Source organism: Homo sapiens, chromosome 6, assembly GCF_000001405.40.
Source record: "Homo sapiens chromosome 6, GRCh38.p14 Primary Assembly".
NCBI classification, from domain to species: domain Eukaryota; kingdom Metazoa; phylum Chordata; class Mammalia; order Primates; family Hominidae; genus Homo; species Homo sapiens.
In genome coordinates, this window is record NC_000006.12 from 134,911,254 (window position 1) to 134,932,600 (window position 21,347).

The 21,347-nt window shown below is 42.0% G+C and overlaps 1 protein-coding gene across 3 annotated transcripts in view; it reads right to left on the reverse strand.

The window, feature by feature from the left end:
- The window catches only part of ALDH8A1 (aldehyde dehydrogenase 8 family member A1), a 32,709-nt gene continuing 17,501 nt past the window's right edge, over positions 6,140-21,347 (reverse strand). For 2 of the 3 annotated variants that reach the window (NM_001193480.2, NM_022568.4), the window contains 2 exons: positions 17,801-17,962; positions 6,140-7,614 (listed from right to left, as the gene is read on the reverse strand). In NM_001193480.2, the coding sequence (NP_001180409.1) occupies positions 7,162-7,614; positions 17,801-17,962 (615 nt within the window). In that variant the 3' untranslated portion in view covers positions 6,140-7,161. The remainder of the gene's footprint in view (positions 7,615-17,800; positions 17,963-21,347) is intronic. The other variant, NM_170771.3, reaches the window with a different exon arrangement.

Consider the following 21,347-nt stretch of genomic DNA (forward strand, 5'->3'; position numbering starts at 1 on the left):
TTGAAGGTAGAGATTATTTTTCATATTAGATGTATGCCAGGACTTATTTTATCCCTATAGATTCAAGATCAATGCCATGATCTTGCAATGACAGCATAGAGACTCCACAAAAATCTGCTGCACTGAATGTAATAAAAATCAAAATCACTACAGTAATTGTCCCATGTCTGGAGAAATGACACATTTGTTTACAATAAGGCAGAAACCAAATTATAATTATTTTAGATTTTATTGATTTCTGAGTAGCAACCACACATCCCATAAGTGAGAATATGGAAGCCATGTACCCTGGCTCATCAGACAGTGTAAAATCTGCTAATAGGTGCCTATTGCTTGGCAAGGATTGTGGCCCAACCAGTGGGGAATGGAGCCACAGCCCTCTGACCACCACCCAGACAGGTGTGGCCTGGCCCAGCCCACTGTTCAAGTGAATTGTATTTAGAGAGTTCATTACACGTAACCCCTTGAATAGCCTCTCCAGGGCTCTACTCTCCATCATGTGATTGAGAGACTGTGGTTATAACTCATAGGGTGAATCACAGCATTTCTATAATGTTCTCCAAAGTATGTGCTTGGGCTTCAAAAGAGAAAACAATACTTTGTAGTTGAAAACTTAGGAGGGAGAGTAGGTACTAATAAATCAATCTAACAAGAAAAAAGTCAACTTGGGAGTATGGAGTAATATTTTGTAGGAATTTTAAATCAGGAATTTACTGACTCAAGTGTTTTGGATTAAACTTATTAAAGCAATGAATTCTTCTCTTATAAAATGAAGCCTTCTAGTAGGATGATCAGACCATTTAATGAGGAGAGAACACCCTGGGGCCAGTACTTAATCATGTCATCCACAACCTCTAATTTTTGCTCCTAAAAACTCTGAAGCCATCTTTTTCTCCTTTTTAAAAAAAAATTATTTCTGTGCTAGTTCTAGAATCATGGCAAATGTAAAGTTTTGAATTTGATCCATGCTTGACAAACACAAAGTAGATGAACACGTTTTTTATCTTATTTATGTAGAAGAGGAAAATTTTCCTCTACCCTCTTCAGTTGGGCCTTGTGAATTAAACTGGCAAAAGTCAAATTGACAGGCGAAAAAGGCATACGAATTTTATTTTAAATTTTATGTGCATGGGAGCTCCATAGAAAAGAAGTAAAAACCCAAATAAGTGGCTAGTCTTGGGGCCATAAGTGCCATTTTAACCAAAGGTGAAAGATTGTTGAGAAATGACTAACAAAGAAGAGGGAGTTTGGGTTTTTAGGGCCAGTAAATTGTAGAAAGGTAAAAATCTGGGGGAAAATCCAATGAAGGTAAAAGTTATTTAGTGAGATTTGTTTATGCAGACATCTCGGCACCATCTCCATCTCCAGAAATAAAGGTTACTCTTTCTCTCCTGGTACAAGAGAGAAAACTATCATAAGGGAATGTTATGCCCTCCTTTTAGGCAAACAGGGGGAAAATAGCTTTTCCTGTGTCTGCTTTTTCTCAATTACCCTCAGCTCAAAACAATCAATGTATCAAAGTAGCATATATTGGGATGGGATATTCTGTTCCCCTTTAGCTTTTTTACATATCTAAGATCTTCCAGATTATTAAACCTTATTTTTAAATCCATGTTCTTTTTAAAGATGTTCTTCAATCACCACGTCCTGTCTTCCCTGTCCTAACTTGAGCCAACAGCTTTCTAGGCCTCTTTTTAAATATCTAACAACTTAAAATTAATTTTCATTTCATTTTTCAGGCAGTTCTTCTATTTATTTGAATTCTTGTTTCTTTTTGCTGCATTACATCCCCAAGTCATACCAGAAAGGATGAAACCTTCGAGATAGGGAGAAACTTTTCGAGTCATTAAATATCTTATTGTGCCTTCATTCGTGAATAAGAGTTTGGCTGCCTATAAATTTAGGTTCAAAATAATTTTCCTTGAGAACTTTGAAGTTTTGCTCCTCTGTCTTTTAGCATCAATGTTACTAATGAAAATAGTGATGATAATCTTATATGCTTTTTTGTGGTAGGTATCCTGTTGATTCACTCTGTAAGCTTTACACTAGGAATTTTTATTTTTATTTTTGATATTTTGAGACAGGGTCTCACTACATTGGCCAGGCTGGTCTCGAACTTCTTGCCGCAAGATATCCTCCTGCCTTGGCCTCCCAAAGTGCTGGGATTACAGGTGTGAGCCACTGCACCCAGCCTACACTAGGAATTTCAAATTTTCAACAGAGTATTTCTTGAAACATGGTATTTTCCATCTAAAAAGAGTGTCTTTGGTTCAGAGAAATTTTCTTTTTCTATTTATTTGATTTTTTCCCCCTTTTTGTCTTTTTTTTTTTTTTTCAATACATTTGGGGGAACAGGTGGTGTTTGGTTACATGGATACGTTCTTTAGTGGTGATTTGTGAGATTTTGGGGCGCCCATCACCCGAGCAGTGGACACTGTACCCAACGTCTTTCATCCCTATGCCCCGCCCACCCTGCCCGCCAGGGAACTCAGAGTCCGTTATATCATTCTTCTGCCTTTGTGTCCTCATAGCATAGCTTAGCTCCCACTTGTAAGTGAGAACATAATGATGTTTGGTTTTCCATTCCTGAGTTACTTCACTTAGAATAATGGTCTCCAACTCCATCCAGGTTGCTGCAAATGCTGTTATTTCATTCCTTTTTATGGCTGAGTAGTATTCCATGGTATATGTATATATACACATATATAATATATATACATACACACACATACATATATACACACATACATACATTTTCTTTATCCGCTTGTTGGTTAATGGACATTTAGGCTGATTCCATATTTTTGTCTTTGTTTTTACATTTTGAATTAGTTACATATTAATAGCTCTCTGGATCTATCCTGCATCTCACCAACTCTCTTATATTTTTCCTTTTCTGTCATTCTCTACATCCTGAGCTATTTTCTCAACTTTATCTTCCAGACTACTAATTTGTTTTCAGCCATATCAATGACTCAATTCTATAAATTTTAAAAATTTAATTGGAGAATCAGTGTTTAATTTCTCAAGACCTCTTTTATGTTGTTTGCTTGCTCCTTTTTCATAGAAGCCTGTTCTTATTTATAAATGCGCTATCCCCTCACATCTTTCTGAGGGGACTCATTCAACTTTTTAGTGTCTCCGCTCCTTCTTTTATCTGTTTCTACCACAGTAAGTTGCTCTTTCACACATCTTGATATTTTTCTTTTACCGAAAATTTAATAATCCTTGGTTGCTTGGTAATTTTTTTTTTTTTTTGCGGGGGACAGAGTCTCGCAATTCTCCTGCCTTGGCCTCCCAATTAGCTGGGCGTATGCCACCACACCCAGCTAATTTTTTGTATTTTTAGTAGAGATGGGGTTTCACTGTGTTGGCCAGGCTGGTCTCAAACTCCTGACCTCAGGTGATCCACCCACCTCAGCCTCCCAAAGTGCTGGGATTAAAGGCATGAGCCACTGCGCCTGGCCAGTAATTTTTTTAATAAAAACGGTATTGTTGACTGGGCGCGGTGGCTCATGCCTGTAATCCCAACACTTTGGGAAACCGAGGCAGATGGCTCATTTGAGGTCAGGAGTCTGAGATCAGCCTGGCCAACATGGGGAAACCCCGTCTCTACTAAAAATACAATAATTAGCCAGACGTGATGGCGGTTGCCCGTAATCCCAGATACCCAGGAGGCTGAGGCTCAAGAATGGCTTTAAGCCAAGAGGTGGAGATTGCAGTGAGCCAAGATTGTGCCACTGCACTCCAGCCTGAGTGACAGAGCAAGAGTCTGACTCAAAAAAAAAAAAAAAGGACAAAAAAAAATGATATGTTGATTGGCATGGGTAATTGACAAAGTTATTTTTTGCAATTTGGAAAAACAGTTTACCCATAAGACCCATTGCTGAATGGGGGACTAAATCCCCATTTTCTGAAGAAAAGAAGCTTCTTTTTAAGACGTGTGGAGAGTTCATCTTGCACCCTCATTAACTACCAGGGAGGAGGACTTTGCCTTGGGTGGTGAAATTTGGCAGTGCATCTCACTCCAAGATGGGGCTGCCTTTCCCTTCCTCCTCCCCAGCATTGCACGGAAGGTCCTGAGCTATCTCAGGCTTTGTGCCTGGAGCTCCATTAGAGGCATTCCTGGGAAGTTCTTCTACTCTAGTGTCTCCAGCAGGGAGCAAATGTAGCCAGCTTCTCCTGAAACCTAGGAAGAGGAGAGGAGGCACCTGTCTTCTAATCAGTGTCTTCTAATTCTTCGACACTCCAAGTGCAATCTCAGGTCCCACCGCAGAACTACTGAATCCAAATCTGTATTTTAACAGAGTCCCTGGTGTTTCAGGAGCACTTCCGAGTCTAAGAAGCACTACTCTTCAGCTGCTGTCCATCCTTGAGCCTCAAGCTTGGGACCTCTGGGCTCTGCCAGGAGGTGTCTCTCCCATCTTTTCTCAGCTTCTCCTCTCAGCCTGTTCCTGGCTGTCCCTTCAATATGATCCACTTTCCTTTTTTGGTATATAAATAATTCTGCCTTATGAAATAATATAGTGAACACTTATGTGCCCATCAACTGGCTTAAAAAATAAAGCCCTTGTGGACACCCTCACCCCAATTCTCTCTATTGTTAGTTCTGAGCACAGTATGGCAGGGGTGTGGAAGCCCCAAGCCAGGATACACCAGTCCTATGGGACTCTGCTGCAGTGTAGGCACAGAATGGAGTGGTGCCTCAGCTGCTGTGGGGACCTGAGACTGCATGGATGGCCTGGGAGGAGTTCAGTCTCGGATCCATACTCACTCACTTGAAGCGGGTGGAACAAAACTAGGAAAGTTCTAGCTCCACTGCTAAGATTCAGACAATGTTATAACAACTGAGAGATGGAATAGTGTTGGCTGGAGGAAAAGCATTTGTTCAAATGGGCATTAATGAGGCTGCCTTATGAGCCCAGGAGGAGTTTTAGAGATCCAAAAGACCCAGAAGTAGGGAAATGGCATCCAGGATGTCTGTCAGCTGGAAGCAGGCCCCTCCGCAGGCAGGACCCAGGGCCGAGACAGGAACAAACAAGAGCAGGGCTGACTCTGAGCCCTGGAGAGAACAGTCTCCTGGGCAAAGACAAGCTGGTGGAAGGTGGCTGTCCAGGCACCGGGAGCAAGGAGTCAGTTGCTAGAATTTGGAATCAAGATATGGCTTGGGTCTCAGGAATAAGGATGGCTTCAGCCAGCCCATTTACGAGAGTGAAGATGCAAATTCCTAGAGACTGGAGTTGCTGAAATTCCTCCTGCTGATGTTCAAATTGGTTCTTCACTAAAGTGATTAAGGTCAAGGGGACTCAGCTGAGGAACAGAAGAGGCGAGGAAAGGAGAAAGGAAGGTAGAATCTAGAGCCAGGTATAATCCAACAACATCACTTGATCTGAAAGGGGCTGGCTTTTATTTCTCAGCAGTTGCAAGCAAGCCAATATATCTGAAATCCTAAGCAAAATTGTAAAGCTTGGTCTTCCCCTCTCATCACCCTCAACCACACACACACAAACCATGGAACAAATACCCCAGAGCACCAGGAAGACTTTGTTCCCTTCCCAGAACTTGCTTTGAGCACCTTCTGTATGCCAGGCACTATGCTATGAATTGAGACTCTTCAGAGTGCAGTACCAGCAGCCTCGGCTTTGGACACTCCTGTCCAGTTATGGAGACAGACATGCAAACAGATCACTCCCATCAGTGTAGGAAGGCCCGTGCTGGAGGTGTTCCTGAGTTGCTCGGCCACTGAGGAAGGGCCTTGAAGTGGAGGTGGGTAGGAGAGAGGATGGAGGAGGCAAAACAAGAAGGAGACTTGGAGGGGAGACGAAACACCATGTGTGCCAGGAACCACAGGTACTTCACTGCTTCCTGAGCACCAGCTAAGGCAAGTGGAAGGGGGTGAGAGATCATGGGTTTTGGAGCCTGAAAGTCCTGGGTTCAAACCCTGCCTCTACCCATATCATGTGTGTGACCTCGGGTATGTTGCTCGAGCTCTGTAAACCTCAGTTTTCTCCTGTGATCATTTGGGGATCCAAAAAAAAAAAAAAAGCATTTGAAATCTTTATTACTTAGTAAAACGTCCATATTCCTAAGAGGATGGGGATAAGGAGGAATGCATTCAAAAATAAGATACATGCCATACTGGTTACTAAAATTGCTTAACATTTATTGCTTCTTTTGGGGTTAGCAAGTTGTAAGCCTCATTAGATGCATACACTAAGAAATGGAATTGATTAGACTCGACCGTAGGAATGGATCAAACTATGTACTCTTCTTGTTCCAAGTTTCCTCCAAAAGTAGTAGTTATTTTGTTTTTCTTCATCCTTGTACAGATACATTTAGTAGAGCTTACCACATAGCCTTCCCCTAACAAATTCCAAAGACGTCCACAGCCCCCTTATGTAATGAGGTCCAATCAATGATCAATTAGCCATGCTAGTGGCTAATAGACAAGGAGATTATCTCCATAATCTCTCCAAAGATGGCAAATTATGGCTATTTATTTTTGGTTTTGCAGCATTTTTTTTTTAAAGACAAGGTCTCACTGTATCCCCCAGGCTGAAATGCAGTGGAATGATCATGGCTCACTGCAGCCTCAACCGCCTGGGCTCAAGCGATCCTCCCACCTCAGCCTCCCAAGTAGCTGGGGCTATAGGCAGAGGGCACCACACCAAGCTAATTTTTAAACTTTTGGTAAAGACAGGATTTCACCATGTTGCCTAGGCTGATCTCGAACTCCTGAACTCAAGTGATCCACCCACCTTGGCCTCCCAAAGTGCTGGGATTATAGGCATGAGGCACTGTGCCTGATTGCATATTTTTTAAAATTTACCAAATGAAATAATCTGATTATCTGGAGATTCCCAAGAGTTCAATGAAGATGATGAAAGAAACACTATGAAAACATAACCTGGGAGGAGCCTGACAACTGGCATCATTGTTCTATCTTCCTACTTATAAGTCTTTTTTTCCGAGTCCACATTGAAAATAGACAGTATCTCTTCACTAGTGGGTAAAGTTACTAAGAACTGAGGATAAGCTAGAGATAACCTTCTGCCAAGTCAAGGCATAGCTGGAATTCATGCCATGATTTTCATCTACCACATTGAACAACTGATGCCTGCAGCCAGGCATTGGCCATAGTGGCTCCACCATTAGCAAAGATCAGTGTTTAACGGTGATGGTTTTGATCTCAGTGAAGAAGTCGTAAGAGTCCTTGGCTCCCTCTCTACCTATTCCAGAACTCTTCATCCCCCCGAAAGGAAGGTTCAGCTCCCTGATGAGCCAGCAGTTGGTCCAGACCAAGCCAGACTGCAGCTTCTTAGCCACCCGGTGGACGCGCCCCACATTGCTGGACCACACGGTAGCCGCCAGCCCATACTTAACGTTGTTGGCTCTTTCAATCACCTCCTCTTCACTATCAAAGGGGACGACACACGTCACTGGACCAAATATCTCTTCCGTCATGCAGCAGGATTCATCCTTAATGTCTGTTATCACCGTGGGAAGCATAAAGTAGCCTGCCTGGTTCCTGGCAGGGAGGCTCAACTTATCCACTCCCTCACCGCACCAAATTTGGGCACCTTCAGCAAGAGCTCTCTTGACGTAACTTCTGACCTGCGTGGGTAAAAATCATAATTAGCAATGTCTTACCATGTGGCTTCACACAAATCAGCAGAAAATTCAATGTTTTCTAATCATCTCGGAAGGAGGGATAAGGTCATTCCTAAGAAATCTATGGTCGATTATCTTATCACTCAGCTGCTAAGCCAGAGGGCAGAGGCGCTCCAAGCATCATTTGGGCAGTCACCTTTCATACATAAGGGAGGGAAGTAATTATTTAATGTCTAAGTGCCAGGAACTCAGATAAGTGCTTTTCATACACTCTCACTTGATTGTCTCAAAACATTATTAGCTATTGTTAATCTATTATTATCTTCTATTTGCTGATAGTATAATTGAGTGTAAAAAATATGAATGGTTCATAGAGCTAATAAACAGTAAAGTTAGAATTCACACTCAGGTATATTCTGTAGTTAAATACATGAAAGAATATTTTCTCCCTTTTTGGGAGCTATGTCCATTGCAGAAAATGGGAAGAGAAAGATGTGTAAGATTTAGTTAAAGGCCAGAATGCCCTTTAATAGATGAGCTTCCAGAACAAATCATTTCTAATTTCTAGTCTCATTACTGAATATACTCTGAAAATATATCTAGGTAATATATTTTAGCTAACTATAATGGGAAATAAATTATGTAGCTAGTTAACTCAGTGACTCAGAGATAATGACAGATGTATATTAACAATGGTTGTAGAAATAGCTCATAATAATTATATATATATAAACATTGTTGAAGTCACAATTATATGTTTTTCTACCCCAAGAGGTATTATAAGCAAAAGAGAAGTATAAAAGTAGTCCTAAAAATTAAAAATGTAGAACAGCAGTAAAGAAGTAAACCAAAGACAGGGTAAATTTTGCAATAATATTTTGGATTTTTACTTATCTATCGAGCATTCTGCCCCAGGATTACATTAGAACTCCATTGTAGAACTATATTCAGTGTAGAACTATATGTATATTCTCCATGTAAAATAGAGGTAATATTATTCTATTATTAAATTTGCTCCAAGTTTGTAGAATTAATAAGCCATGAAGTTAAAGACTTTTTTTACAGACAATGTCTCACTCTGTCACCTGGGCTGCAATGCAGTGGCACCACCATGGCTTGCTGCAGCCTTGAAGACTCCTGGACTGAAGAGATCCTCCCACCTCAGCCTCTCGAGTAGCTGAGCCTATAAACACAAGTCATCACGTCTAATACATTTTGTTTAATTTCCTATAGAGATGGGGTCTTGCTATGTTGCCCAGGCTGGTCTTCAACTCCTGGTCTCAAGGGATCCGCCCAAAGTGCTGGGATTACAGGAATGAGCCACCACACCCAGCTCAAGACTTTTTTAAAAAATAGAGCATTTGGTACAGATTTATATTCCCTTCCATTAACTTCCACTCCCAACATCCATAGTGATCTCAAAGCTTTCCCAGAACATAACGCTATTCTAGTTTGTGGGTAGAAACTAAAATAAGTTTGTACCTCTCTTGATCCGTACCCTCTTTCTTTTTTTGAAAATAACTCATCCACACTAATTAAAAGGTTCCAAAGGTGAGTGTCCTGTGTGAATAGGGGAATGGAGGTGCAGCTGTCCAGAGGCCCTGCTGGGATGCAGTGGCTGAACTTCATCAATGATTCAGCACCCCACGAGGAGTACCTGGCTTTAGACCATTATGTCGAATGTGATCACATGATTTATCTCTCAGAAGCTCTTGGAATCATAAAAGGTAAAGGGAAGTGTCAGTCTTCAAACTGTGAACTTATCAAAACATTTAATATATAAGGTGACTCACACTAATTGAATTCATTTCCTAGAGAAAGTATGACTAGATAATATCTACCCCAGCAGCTTGGGAACAGAGATTTTCAATAAATTCTGGGGGGGAGAAAAAAAACCATGACTAGTAATATGCTATAAATACAAGAAATTATTATAAAATGTTTTCTTCAGGAGAGAGAATAGTTAGTACTCAGCAGCTTTAGACATAAAGTCAGAGTACAGGGGTTAGAAGAGTAACCCGAGAGCCAAGCTGTATTCAAATCCCAGTTCACCCATTTACTAGCTGAGGGCTTTTAGATGTCCTGTGCCTCAGTTTCCTTATCTGAAACATAGAATTAACACAGTCACTAATTCATAGGGCTCTTGAGAGGATTAAATAAAATAATAAATACAAAAGATTTAGCATGACGCCTAGTACATAATAAGCCTTTTTGACTGTCAGCCTCTGTTGTTATTGATGATGTTGGTGATGATGATGAAATGACTGACCCGACACTTATTAGCTGAGAGACCTCAGAGATGCCCCTCATTCTGTAGGTCAGGTTTTTTATCTGACAAAAGGGGACAGGAAACTGCAACAGTGGGCCTTGGTTAGGTCTGAAGCCTGGCCCTAGCAGGGGATGCACCCATCAGCTTCTTCTGTGCTTCCTCCGGCCTCATTGTAAACCCTCCAGAATTCTCTCCATATAGTTGCCTGCATCTTTGGGTAGGCAGCTACACAGCCAGATCCTCCAGAGTGTCAAGTAGGGAAGGACTCAGCAGGTAGAAAGAAAAACAAAAAGCAACCCTGCGAAAAGGCAAATGGAGACTTATCTTCAAGCCACAAGGATAGAATCCCCTGCAGGTTACTGAGCATCCCCATGGAGTCACTGAGACCCTGGGAAATCATACCTCCGTTTAGGAGCATGCTGTATCTCCATAAGTCCTTGAGCCCTTGGCCATTACAAAACAACTTTTACATATTCTAATTGGATTATTTCACCAAAGGCATCGCCACCTATTGTGGCAATCATGCAGAGGTAGGGCGGACACGAAAACTCCAGACTCCACATGGCCAATTTGATTTGGAGAAGACAAAAACACACTGCAGGGGCAGAGAGTGCTGGAATGCAGATGGCAGCCCAGTCTTCCTGGGCACTCAGCCCCAAAGCTTTCTGGGGTAACATTAGGAAAGATGACTGTCAGCAGAGGGCATCCACTGCCTCCTCCAGCCCAGATGGTTTGGCACACGGAACTGAAGAGTCACAATCTGAAGAGGCCATACTTAACATTTCTCTAGGCGTTTCTATTAGCTCTCTCCCAAAGGGCAGAGACAGCAGGGCTTTCTCGCTAGAACTGAGCTGAAAGCCTCATGAGGAGTCCAGCTGGCGGGAGGCTCACTCGGTGTAAAGCCATATCTCATTTCATCTGTGCACACGCTCAGAGTGGAGCAGTGAGGATGGCAGATGCTCAGTGATCCTCTAAGCCACAGGAACATGGGGTCAGCAGCCTGTTTCCCAGCAGAAGGTAGATCCTCCTGAGGCTTTATACAGAGGAGGCATTGTGGGCAGAGCTGAGAGGAGTTCTACTCTATGTGGGAGGGATCAGACAGAGAGGACAACAAAACAAGGCAAGCCACATAGATAGCAGCGTTTTAGATGTGCTGTGGTTATGGAAATACCATCCTTATTGTTTTTGCCTTGAAAAACTTGGCTGCTGATAAGTACCATTTTCAAGTTTTCAACAGTGAATAACCTTGAATAACTTTTTTTTTCTTTTTTTGAGACAGAGTCTCACTCTGTCACCCAGGCTGGAGTGCAATGGTGTGATCTCGGCTCACTGCAACCTCTGCCTCCCGGGTGCAAGCGATTCTCCTGCCTCAGCCTCCCGAGTAGCTGGGGCTACAGGTGCGAGCCACCACGCCTGGCTAATTTTTGTATTTTTAGTAGAGATGGGGTTTCACCACGTTGGCCAGGCTGGTCTCAAACTCCTGACCTAAAGTGATCCACCCGCCTCAGCCACCCAAAGTGCTGGGATTACAGGCATGAGCCACTGCACCTGATCTAACAGTGAATAACTTTTTAACCATGTCCAAAATCTTTCCCCTTTGAAGCAGTGGAATTTTGGAGCTTTCTGAGATGAGTGCAAACTATTTAGCTATACTTAGTTTTAATAAGAATAGTTGCTGAAAAATTATTTTCTATAAGGATCAAGCAGAAAATCAAAAGTAGTTGATTGAAAAGTCTTCAGTTGAGTTGATAGTAACGTGCTGGTTTGTTAGCATGAACAGATGTACCTTAGGACTGTAAGATGCCAACAACAGGAAAAACTGGGTGAGTGGTTATAAAAACTCTCTGCCTTATCTTTGAAACATTCTATAAATCTTAAATTATTACAAAGTAGAAGGATTATTTTATTTTTTGAGACAGCATCTCACTGTCGCCCAGGCTGGAATTCAGTGGCGTGATCTCAGCTCACTGCAACCTTGACCTCCTGGGGTTCAGGTGATCCTCCTGCCTCAGCCTCCTGAGTAGCTGGGACTACAGGCACGCACTACCACGCCTGGCTAAATTTTTTTGTATAATTTTTAGAGACAGGGTTTTGCCATGTTGCCCAGGCTGCTCTGGAACACCTGGGCTCAAGTGATCTTCCTGCCTCGGCCTCCCACAGTGCTAGGATTACAGGCATGAGCCACCGTGCCCAGCGAAGGTTTATTAAAAAAAAAAGAAAGAAAAATTGACTGAGAGAGAAAGCATTCAATGGTAAAAATATCTAGGGGTTTTCAAAAGTTTTTTTTAAAAGATAAATTTGAGTTTATGGCCTTATATTTTAATGTGGTCAGAAAAATTTGATAACTGCTAAGATTCATCATTTCCAAAGTGATCCATGGCACCTAAGTATACTAAATTGAAATGATATTAAGATAATACAACTAACATGTGAAACAGATGCTTGGTTTTCAGGCATAATTTGGTTTAGTAGAAGATGGCATTTCTGGATTTAGATACGTCCAGGAGAAGCTGGCACCATGTCTAGGGCTTTGCCAATATTTCAAGTTTTAAAAATATTGAATATAATAAGTGGTTTAGATCTATTAGAAATCTTGGTTTTTGTCCACAGCTTCTGCAGCTGTGATGGTAGAAATAATGAGGAATGAGGACTAGTGGCCTTCTCATTTCTCCTTCCTTTAGGGGAAGATGGAGTTGGTAAAAACATGGTGTATGAGATGGGGTGACATAAGCACTATGTTAAGGCAAATTTATTATTAGGAAGGTGCAAGGGAAAGGGACGAAAATTAGTTGTAAAAATATTAGGAGCCCTGACACGAGAATCTTCTTCCTGGGAGTCACTGTGGTCAAGCCTGGCAAAGTAGTCGAGGTCCCCTGATTCCCTGCATGCACAGCTTGGACCTGGCCAGGACAAGGGGAGCCCGAGGGAAACCAAGCTCTCCCTGCATGTCTTAGTCCAGATTCAGATAAGAACTTGCTTGACAAAATCCAAATAGGGAGCTGGGCTGAGGCAGAAGGAGGGCCGGCCAGAGAGGGACACATCTTCAGAAACTCAGAGAAGGGTGTCCCTCCCACCTGTATGCCGGTGCTACCGGGACATGCACTTGCAAACTGAGTCCTCTGCTACCATCTGCCATGGACAGAGTCCTCATACATACTTGCCTGATAACAAAAACTATCACAAGGGACTCTACAAACCACAACCTTGCACAAAGGCCACCACAACCTTGCCCAAAAACTATTTCTACAAGGATGTTTATACAGTAACTGTCCACTCAACCTTGGACTGGTGCCTCCATTTAATAATAAATCACCCTTATTATTGATCCTTGTAGCCAATAATAATTGTTTCAAAACAACATTCTGTCACCTTCCTCATTTTACCTTTAAAAACCCTCGTCTTCCTTTACCTCTCTGGCTATGCCCAGAATCCATCACAACACGCATATCCCAGTTCATAATCTTCTGGCATTCATTCCCAAATAAAGTCACTTTTATTTTCTTTAGAGAGTCCTTCTCTATGTTGTTATTTTAGATTGAAAGATTCTAACCACAAACCTACTAAAGAAAAGGTAATCTAGGTCTTCTCTGTGGAGTCACTCACAGACAACAATGTTCAGGGTAAATATTTTACTCTAGGGAAAAATATGGATATTTTATGCTGAAATATTCTGACACCTAAACTCACTAAATTCTGTGTTTATTTTATGGGTGATGAAAACTACTAGGAATCACCAAAACACAAAACTAAAGTTTGAGAATTTGGAAGGCATTCCAAATGTGAATGATGTCTTTAACTAAAATGTAGTATAATAGAAATATCTTGGTACCTTTTTAATAAGTTGATTCTTGAGAAACACAAGAACAGTGGAGAAATATGAACCTGCAGAAATTTTTTCACTTGTATATTTGTAGTAATGCTGTAGAAATCTGAAATTATTTTTGATAATAATCTAGATGTAATTTTTTAGATTCCTAAATTGGCATTTAAAAAGTTAGATTTGTATACTATTGAGGTATTAACGATCCATATTTAACCAAGTGTTTTCAGAAAACTAGATACCAAAACTACTTGTGACGTAAGCTGGAATCACCAATACTTGTACCAATGATGAAGAGTTAAAGAGGAATTTCAAGCCAAACCTCAAAGGCATGTATGTGTCTATATGGCCCCTTTATCGTTGTCATGATTTAATGATCGGTGATACTAGAGGCTCCAGGCTCGGATGGTTTCAAGCGTTTTCTTGGAGAAAGGCTGGGTTTTAGTTTTTGTGTTTATTTTGTTTTTCCTTTCGGAGTCTTGATGCTGGCCAGCGACGGCCAGGACCTGTGCATTTTGGACCCATTCCAGGTAGTTTAAGCTAAGGATCAAAAAGAATTCAAGGAAAATGGATACCTTAAATTTGGAGGATATATTGTAACTGGAACACATCATGTGGTGTTAATTCAGTCATTCACCCAACAAATACTATGCACCTACTATGTTCCAGGAGCTTTCTAGAGTCTAAAGATACAGCAATGAATAAAACTGACCAAGAAGCTGACATTCTAGTCCAGGGAAGATAGTCAGTAAAGGGATAAGATACATATATTGCATGTCAGATGACAGTAAGAACCGTGGAGAAAAATAAAGCTCCAAAGAAGTCAAAGTTTTAAAAGGTACCACTGTATATAGGGTAGGCAGGAAAGCCCTCATTCAGGTGACATCTACTCTCAGAAGGGGAAGGAGAGAGCCATGCGTGCATCTGAAGGAAGAGCATTCCAGGCAGCGTGAGCAACAAGAGCAAGGGCCAAGAAGGAGGAGGGTGCCTGGTATTTTCCAGGAAGAACAGGGAGGCCAGTATGCAGGAGTGGAATGAGGAAAGGGAAGGTCAAAGAGGTAATGGAACAGATCGTAGCCAGTTTCTTAGGTTATTCTAAAGACTTAGGCATGGACTGTGAGTAACATGGGGTATGACCATACACAGCATGACACATCATCACCAGTGATGAAATAATTATGATATTAGAGCAAGGTTTAAAAGGTAATTTAGCTACATTAGAAATACCAGCATAGACTCAGGACCCTTCTTTTTTTTTTTTTTTTTTTTTTTTGAGACAGCGTCTCATTCTGTGACCCAGACTGGAGGGCAGTGGCAGAAACTGCAACCTCCACCTCCCAGGCTCAAGCAATTCTCCTGCCTCTGCCTCCCAAGTAGCTGGGATTACAGGCGTGCGCCACAAGTGCTCAGCTAATTTTTGTATTTTTAGTAGAGACAGGGTTTCACCATGTTGGCCAGGCTGGTCTTAAACTCCTGACCTCAAATGATCTGCCCACCTCAGCCTTCCAAACTGCTGAGATTACAGGCATAAGCCACCGCACCTGGCCAGGACCCTTCTTAAAAAAGGCAGTGTGGCCAGGCATGGTGGCTCACACCTGTAATCCCAGCACTTTGGGAGGCCAAGGTGGGTGGATCACCTGAGGTCAAGAGATCAAGATCACCCTGGCCAACATGGTGAAACCCCGTCTCTACTAAAAATATAAAAATTAACTGGGTGTGGTGGCACACACCTGTAGTCCCAGCTAGTTGGGAGGCTGAGGCAGGAGAACTGCTTGAACCCAGGAGGTGGAGGTTGCAGTGAGCCAAGACCACGCCATTGCACTCCAGCCTGGGCGACAGAGTAAGACTCTATCTCAAAAAAAAAAAAAAGGGCAGTGTGTGTGAAGCACCACAAAGTTTTAAGCCACCTCTTCTTGACCTCTTCTTGGATGCCATTGGACCACTTGTCACATAATAGGAAATCTCCTAATGGGCACCCTTAAGCTCAAATGCTTGTCTTGATTACCGTTCTCCACTGAAAGGAACCAAGGCTCAGTAGAGAGAGGTCTTCTTGTCCATGTGCAGCAGAGCAATTGAGACCACCTGAGGCTACCTGTTGTCAGAGGACAGAGATGCCTATAGGTGGGCCTCCAGTGGGCTCAGAAGGACAGGAGAGCAGGTTAAAGAGAGGGCCCCTGGAGTAGTTTTAAAGGTGAGGGCATGTTGCCTATGTAGTGTTGCATTTCATGAACACATAGAATCTGCAATCTATGCCAATTACTAGAACTCATTAGCGTCTTGTATAAGTCATCACAATATTAAATATTTAATTCTCCAACAGTGGCCCATTTCAGTTTAGTACATGTTAAAAAAGAAAGAAGAAGAAGAAGAAGAAGAAGCCTCCTGTGGCCAAGCAGGAACATACTGGGCATCAAAAATATTGTATGAAAGTCCACAGGAATTACAACACATTGAAGACAAATATTTAGAGTATCACAGAGAAAAGCCATAGCTACCAATATGAGTCAAAGTGTGGCATCAATTTCTCTCTCCCTTTCTCTCTCTTACACACACACGCGTGCATGCACACACACACACACAGAGAGAGATCATTCAACTGATACAGAAAAGTCAATACTTTTATTTGTTTCACTAATATATATTCTCTCACTGGGTAACTAAAATAGTTATTATGGCAGCGACTAAAATAGAAAAAAAATGGTGTATCTGTTGAGTTGATACAGAAAGAACTTTGAAATTCTGAGTGAGTGAATTGCACAGGGAACCTCACACTGAAGTACTGCCTGAGCCTGCTGAAAGGTACTCTAGGAGGTTAACTTTTGTTCCACTCCTTCCTGTTTCCCAGGAAGCAGTCTGGGGCATACTAACATTGTTTTTCACCAGACATTTGCAGGTGTGGGCAGGCAGGCAGGGAGCCCTAGTGTCCAAAAGAGCCAGAAGGAGAGAGAACAAGGGAGTCTCTTGCATCTGGAAAATCTTCACTCCATGAAGGACCATCCACAACTGTTGGTCTCCCTGGACATTCTGGAGACCACTGCCTATGTACCTGCAATCTTGTAGGTAAATTTAGCTGGAGAAAAACAAGCCATGCTGGTCATCCTCACTTTAAATAAATGACCACAAGCCTCAAGTGAGCCCTTTGAGCTGCTCTGCTAATAACTTGGTCATTTCCCAGTCCTTTCTCTCTCCTGACCTACCGCGAGATTATTTCATACCCTCTCCTCCCTCCTGAAACCTTCAACACCTTTTCCCCTCCTCACCCTGACACCTATTTCACTGAGAAAACAGAAGAAATAAGGACAGGCCTTCAAGCTACTTCATCTTTCCATCTGCAGGCAACTGTGTTGCAGTGTCCTGAAAGTCAAAGTTAAATATAGACAAAGTGGGAGTGCACTGTGCAGTGTCACGGATTTCTACAAACTTACGTAAATGCTCTGTCTCTCATTGGCTGGCTGATGGGGACAAGTTTCCCTCAGTGGCACTGAGCTGAAAGCAGAGTCCTTCTGACTCCAAAATGTATGACTTATTTTGGGAGTCACATGTGGTAATAAATTAAAATAACCCTAAATTGCCATCAAGGGCCAGATCTTCTCTTTTTGAAAAATGACCCTAAAGACCTGAGTTTCATCAATCATTCAGAGACTATCAGTGGTTTCTTCCAGATGGGCTACCCCTGGTCCCCCACTGACTAAGGACGACACAATTGGGACTGTTTGTGTTGGCACTTCTGGCTATAAACCAGAGGCAGGCCTTTTCCAAAGAGAATGTTTGCCTGTGGAAATCACTGGCATTCTTCCATATCACCCTTATTTGCTGATCTTTATGTTTTGAAATTTGGCTTCCCCTCTCTACTGGTGGTATCTCCATGCTGACTTCTCAAGTTCATTAATTTCATGTGGATGCACTTTCACCGGGACTGCATTTGCATATTCATATCCACAATGTTTAGACTCTGTGTCCACAATTTCTCCCAGGTTATAATTTTTCAAAAATGGGGTAGTAACTAACAATATTTCAGAGTCTGATTGTGCTATGCCTGTACTGAGCTTCTCTTCAAATAAGAACTTATTCTGTAACTTACATGGCAGAAATTTACTTACTTTCTCCAAATGTGCTTTACTTATCAGAGCACCTATGCTCACCAGTGGATCAGAGGGAATGCCGACTTTCCACTTTCTGGTAGCTTCTACAAATCTCTTTAAAAATTCACTATAGATGCTCTTCTGGACAAAGATCCTGCTGGTACAGAGACAGATTTCACCCTGCCAAGAATGAGAACAGGGATAAGGCTGCGGACACTCTCCTTCATGGATAGAGCACCCTGCACTTTTGAGTACCTGCCATGTATCAGGCACTGGTCTAGGCAATGGGGTACAATGGTAAATAAGACAAAGTTCCCACCATGTGGAACACATAGTCTTGTGGGAAAGACAAATAAGAACACAAGTAAATAAACTCGATAAATAATATAACTTCAGGTTGTGATCAAAGCCATAAAATAAAATTAAGCAGAGGATGGGAATGGCAACTGATTGCATGGGGAGGGGAGCTATTTTATGAAAGGGAGTCTTGGAGGGCACTTGCAAAGAGGGGATATTTGCATGGAATCTTGACTGATGTGAAGGCATGAGACGGGAAAAGATCTGGAGGTGGGGAATTAATTCTTCAAAGTACAGAGGACCTGCAGCAGGAATGAACTGGTGTGCATGAGGAAAAGCAAGAAGGTGGGTGGGGCTGAGGCTGGAAGAGGAGGCAAGGACAGGAGGTGTGTGGTAAGAGAGGAGGTCAGGAGGCCAGCAAGGCTCTATCGTGCAGTCTCATAGGTTCATAAAGAGATTACGTTTTATTCTCAGTATCATGAAAAAATAAGGGAAGGTTTTAAGCATCAGAACGATATGATCAGATTTACATTTTAAAATGCCCATTCTGGCAGCCATGGGAAAATAGGATGGAAGGAAACAAGTGTGGGAAGAGAGCAGAGGAGTTAAGAGAATATTCCAGAAGTCCAGATGCGTGTAGGTAGCTGGGACCAGGGAGGCATCCATGGAGATGCAGAGGAGTGAAAAGGACCCACTGAGTTCAACAGATTCTTCCAGGGGCACGGGACCTCCGAAGTGTGATGAAGTTGGCACAGATGCACTGGAGAAGTGATGAGATTCAGGATATACCTTAAAGACAGAACCAACAGGACCTGTCGATGGAAAGAGAGGGCAAGAACAAGAGTAGGCCGCAGAGTGGATGGTGGTGTTGTTCCCTGGAAGGGCAGACACGAGGTGGAAAGAGGATTGGTATTGCAAGGAAGGGAGAGGGAGGGAAACGAGAGCTCTGATTTGGACACGCTGGGTTTCAGATGCCTCACAGACATCAAATAGAGATACTGAGTGTACAGGGGAGGGGTTATAACAGATTTCTCAGTGAAAAATAACCCTATCATTTGAACATAGCATGTAACAGTTTAGACTTAGAGTTGGCATGTAACCACATTCTAGACTTTCAAAGCATTATTTATGCATGAAAAGTACAGAAATGCATAAATATTTTCACCATGTTTGTGTCTGACTTCACAACAATCTTAGAAAATAGAAGGTTCCTGATTGTCTTGGTATTTGTACAAAGGTACATTGTCCAGATTAAACTGTTAATGTTTTGAAATAACACATTCTTTTTGCAACCAGGATCGCTGTTAGGATCATCTCCATATCTAGCTTGGGAAATGTCTAAACACTTGATAGTTTCATTTGCGCAAGCGCCCTGTGACATCAGGGAAGGAGAGCATGACGAAGAGGCTAGAGGGGTTTACCCAGTTCCCTGTTGCTCTGTGCCTAGAAAGCGTAGGTAAGCATACCAAGATGCCCACAAGAAAGACTTTGGAGAGATTAAGAAAAGGACAGTATCATTCGTTGAGTGCCTATCGTCAAGCCAGACACTGCGCAGGGTGCTTTCCTCATTATAAATAATTCTGTAGCCTGTTAGCTTTTCCAGTTTACAGGTAGGAGAAAAAGTTTTGAATTAGTACATGTCCAGGGTCACACAGAGATGCTTCAAAAAAGCCAATTACATTCAATTAAGGAAGAAATATGCACGACACGGAATTCATCGCTCAGCTAAATCAAGCTGCTTTATTTATTTTGCCTAAAATCCATTTGTGACCTTGGATTAGCCAATTAGTTAGGCGTATGTCTCTTTCCCTATTTCCTTTTTAAAACAACCCCAAAAGGAAGGTTCTCTGGGCAAACTCAAATCGTAGCACAATTCTGGTAGGAGAGAAGATTACACTTCTTATCTCCATGTTCAGAATTTGTTTTGTTTGTTTGTTTGTTTGTTTTTGAGATGGATTCTTGCTCTTATCTCCCAGGCTGGAGTGCATTGGTGCTAACTCGGCACACTGCAACCTCCACCTCCCGGATTTAAGAGATTATCCTGCCTCAGCCTCCCGAGTAGCTGAGATTACAGGCGCCCACCACTATGCCCAGCTAATTTTTGTATTTTTAGTAGAGATGGAGTTTTGCCATGTTGGCCAGGCTGGTCTCGAGCGCTCCTAACCTCAGGTGATCCACCCACCTCGGCCTCCCAAAGTGCTGGGATTACAGGTGTGAGCCACCATGCCTGGACCCTCAGAATTTGTTTAATACAGAGTTTACCTTTCTCTCATCTTAGTTTCTCAGTCCACAAAATTTGTCCCTCTGTTGTTGTCTGTAAGCCATGAAAACACTTGGTTTAAATGTTCACCTGAAACTTGCTTAATGATTAAATTAGTTGTATTGTAAAAGTATATTGTCTATTGATCCAGAAATTATATTTCTAGCCACTTCAAGAGTTACAGTGAGAGAAATAATTACACTTATGATTATCATGAAGATAATAATTGAAAGTAACATTTTTCACTCTATACTCATGAAAACCCTGTTAGAAGACATCATTATTGTTCACATGATTTTATTAGTGAAGCAATGCAGTTTCAAAAGTTTATGCACTATTCAATGTTACCTGAGTTAGCTCAATATAGACATCTCTCATTTCACTGCTGTTTCCTTCTATGAAGTTCTAAGTCTTTGGCCTATGTTTTTACTCTCTGTTAAAATAAAAATATCCTTTGAAGAAAATCATCCAGGGTTTATGTACACCTGCTATATCCTGGGCAGTATTCTAAGCATTGACATTGAAAATACCACACAAAAGCAGGCAGCGTTTCCATCTTCTTGCAGCCTACTGTTTAGTTGATCTGGTGTAGTGTTCTTAACTCTTTGGAATGCCATAGCCTTAAAGAATCTGACAAAAACTACAGAGCACAGAGAAACATCTGTTATGTAATTTCAGGAGCTACAACGATGCCCTGAAGCTGATCCATGAATCCACGCCAAGAAATCTTCTCTAGTCAGTTTCAGGTATTTGGAACTCAGTGGATGAACGCATTTTGAATACTTTTGAAATGAGAGTAAGGTTTACTGGGAATAGGACATTTGAACGACAAGCAAAGACAGGGTTTAAGAAAAGAATAAAAGACAAGACAGGGCAGCTGTGTGAATAAAGAAATGGAGATGCTTGGAGCAGCAACATCAATCATTCCACCCATGGCTGGTACCTGATAAAAGCTGTGCAACTCAAGAAGAGGAGTTTGCTGAACAGAAGCTGTGACTCTGCAAGGCC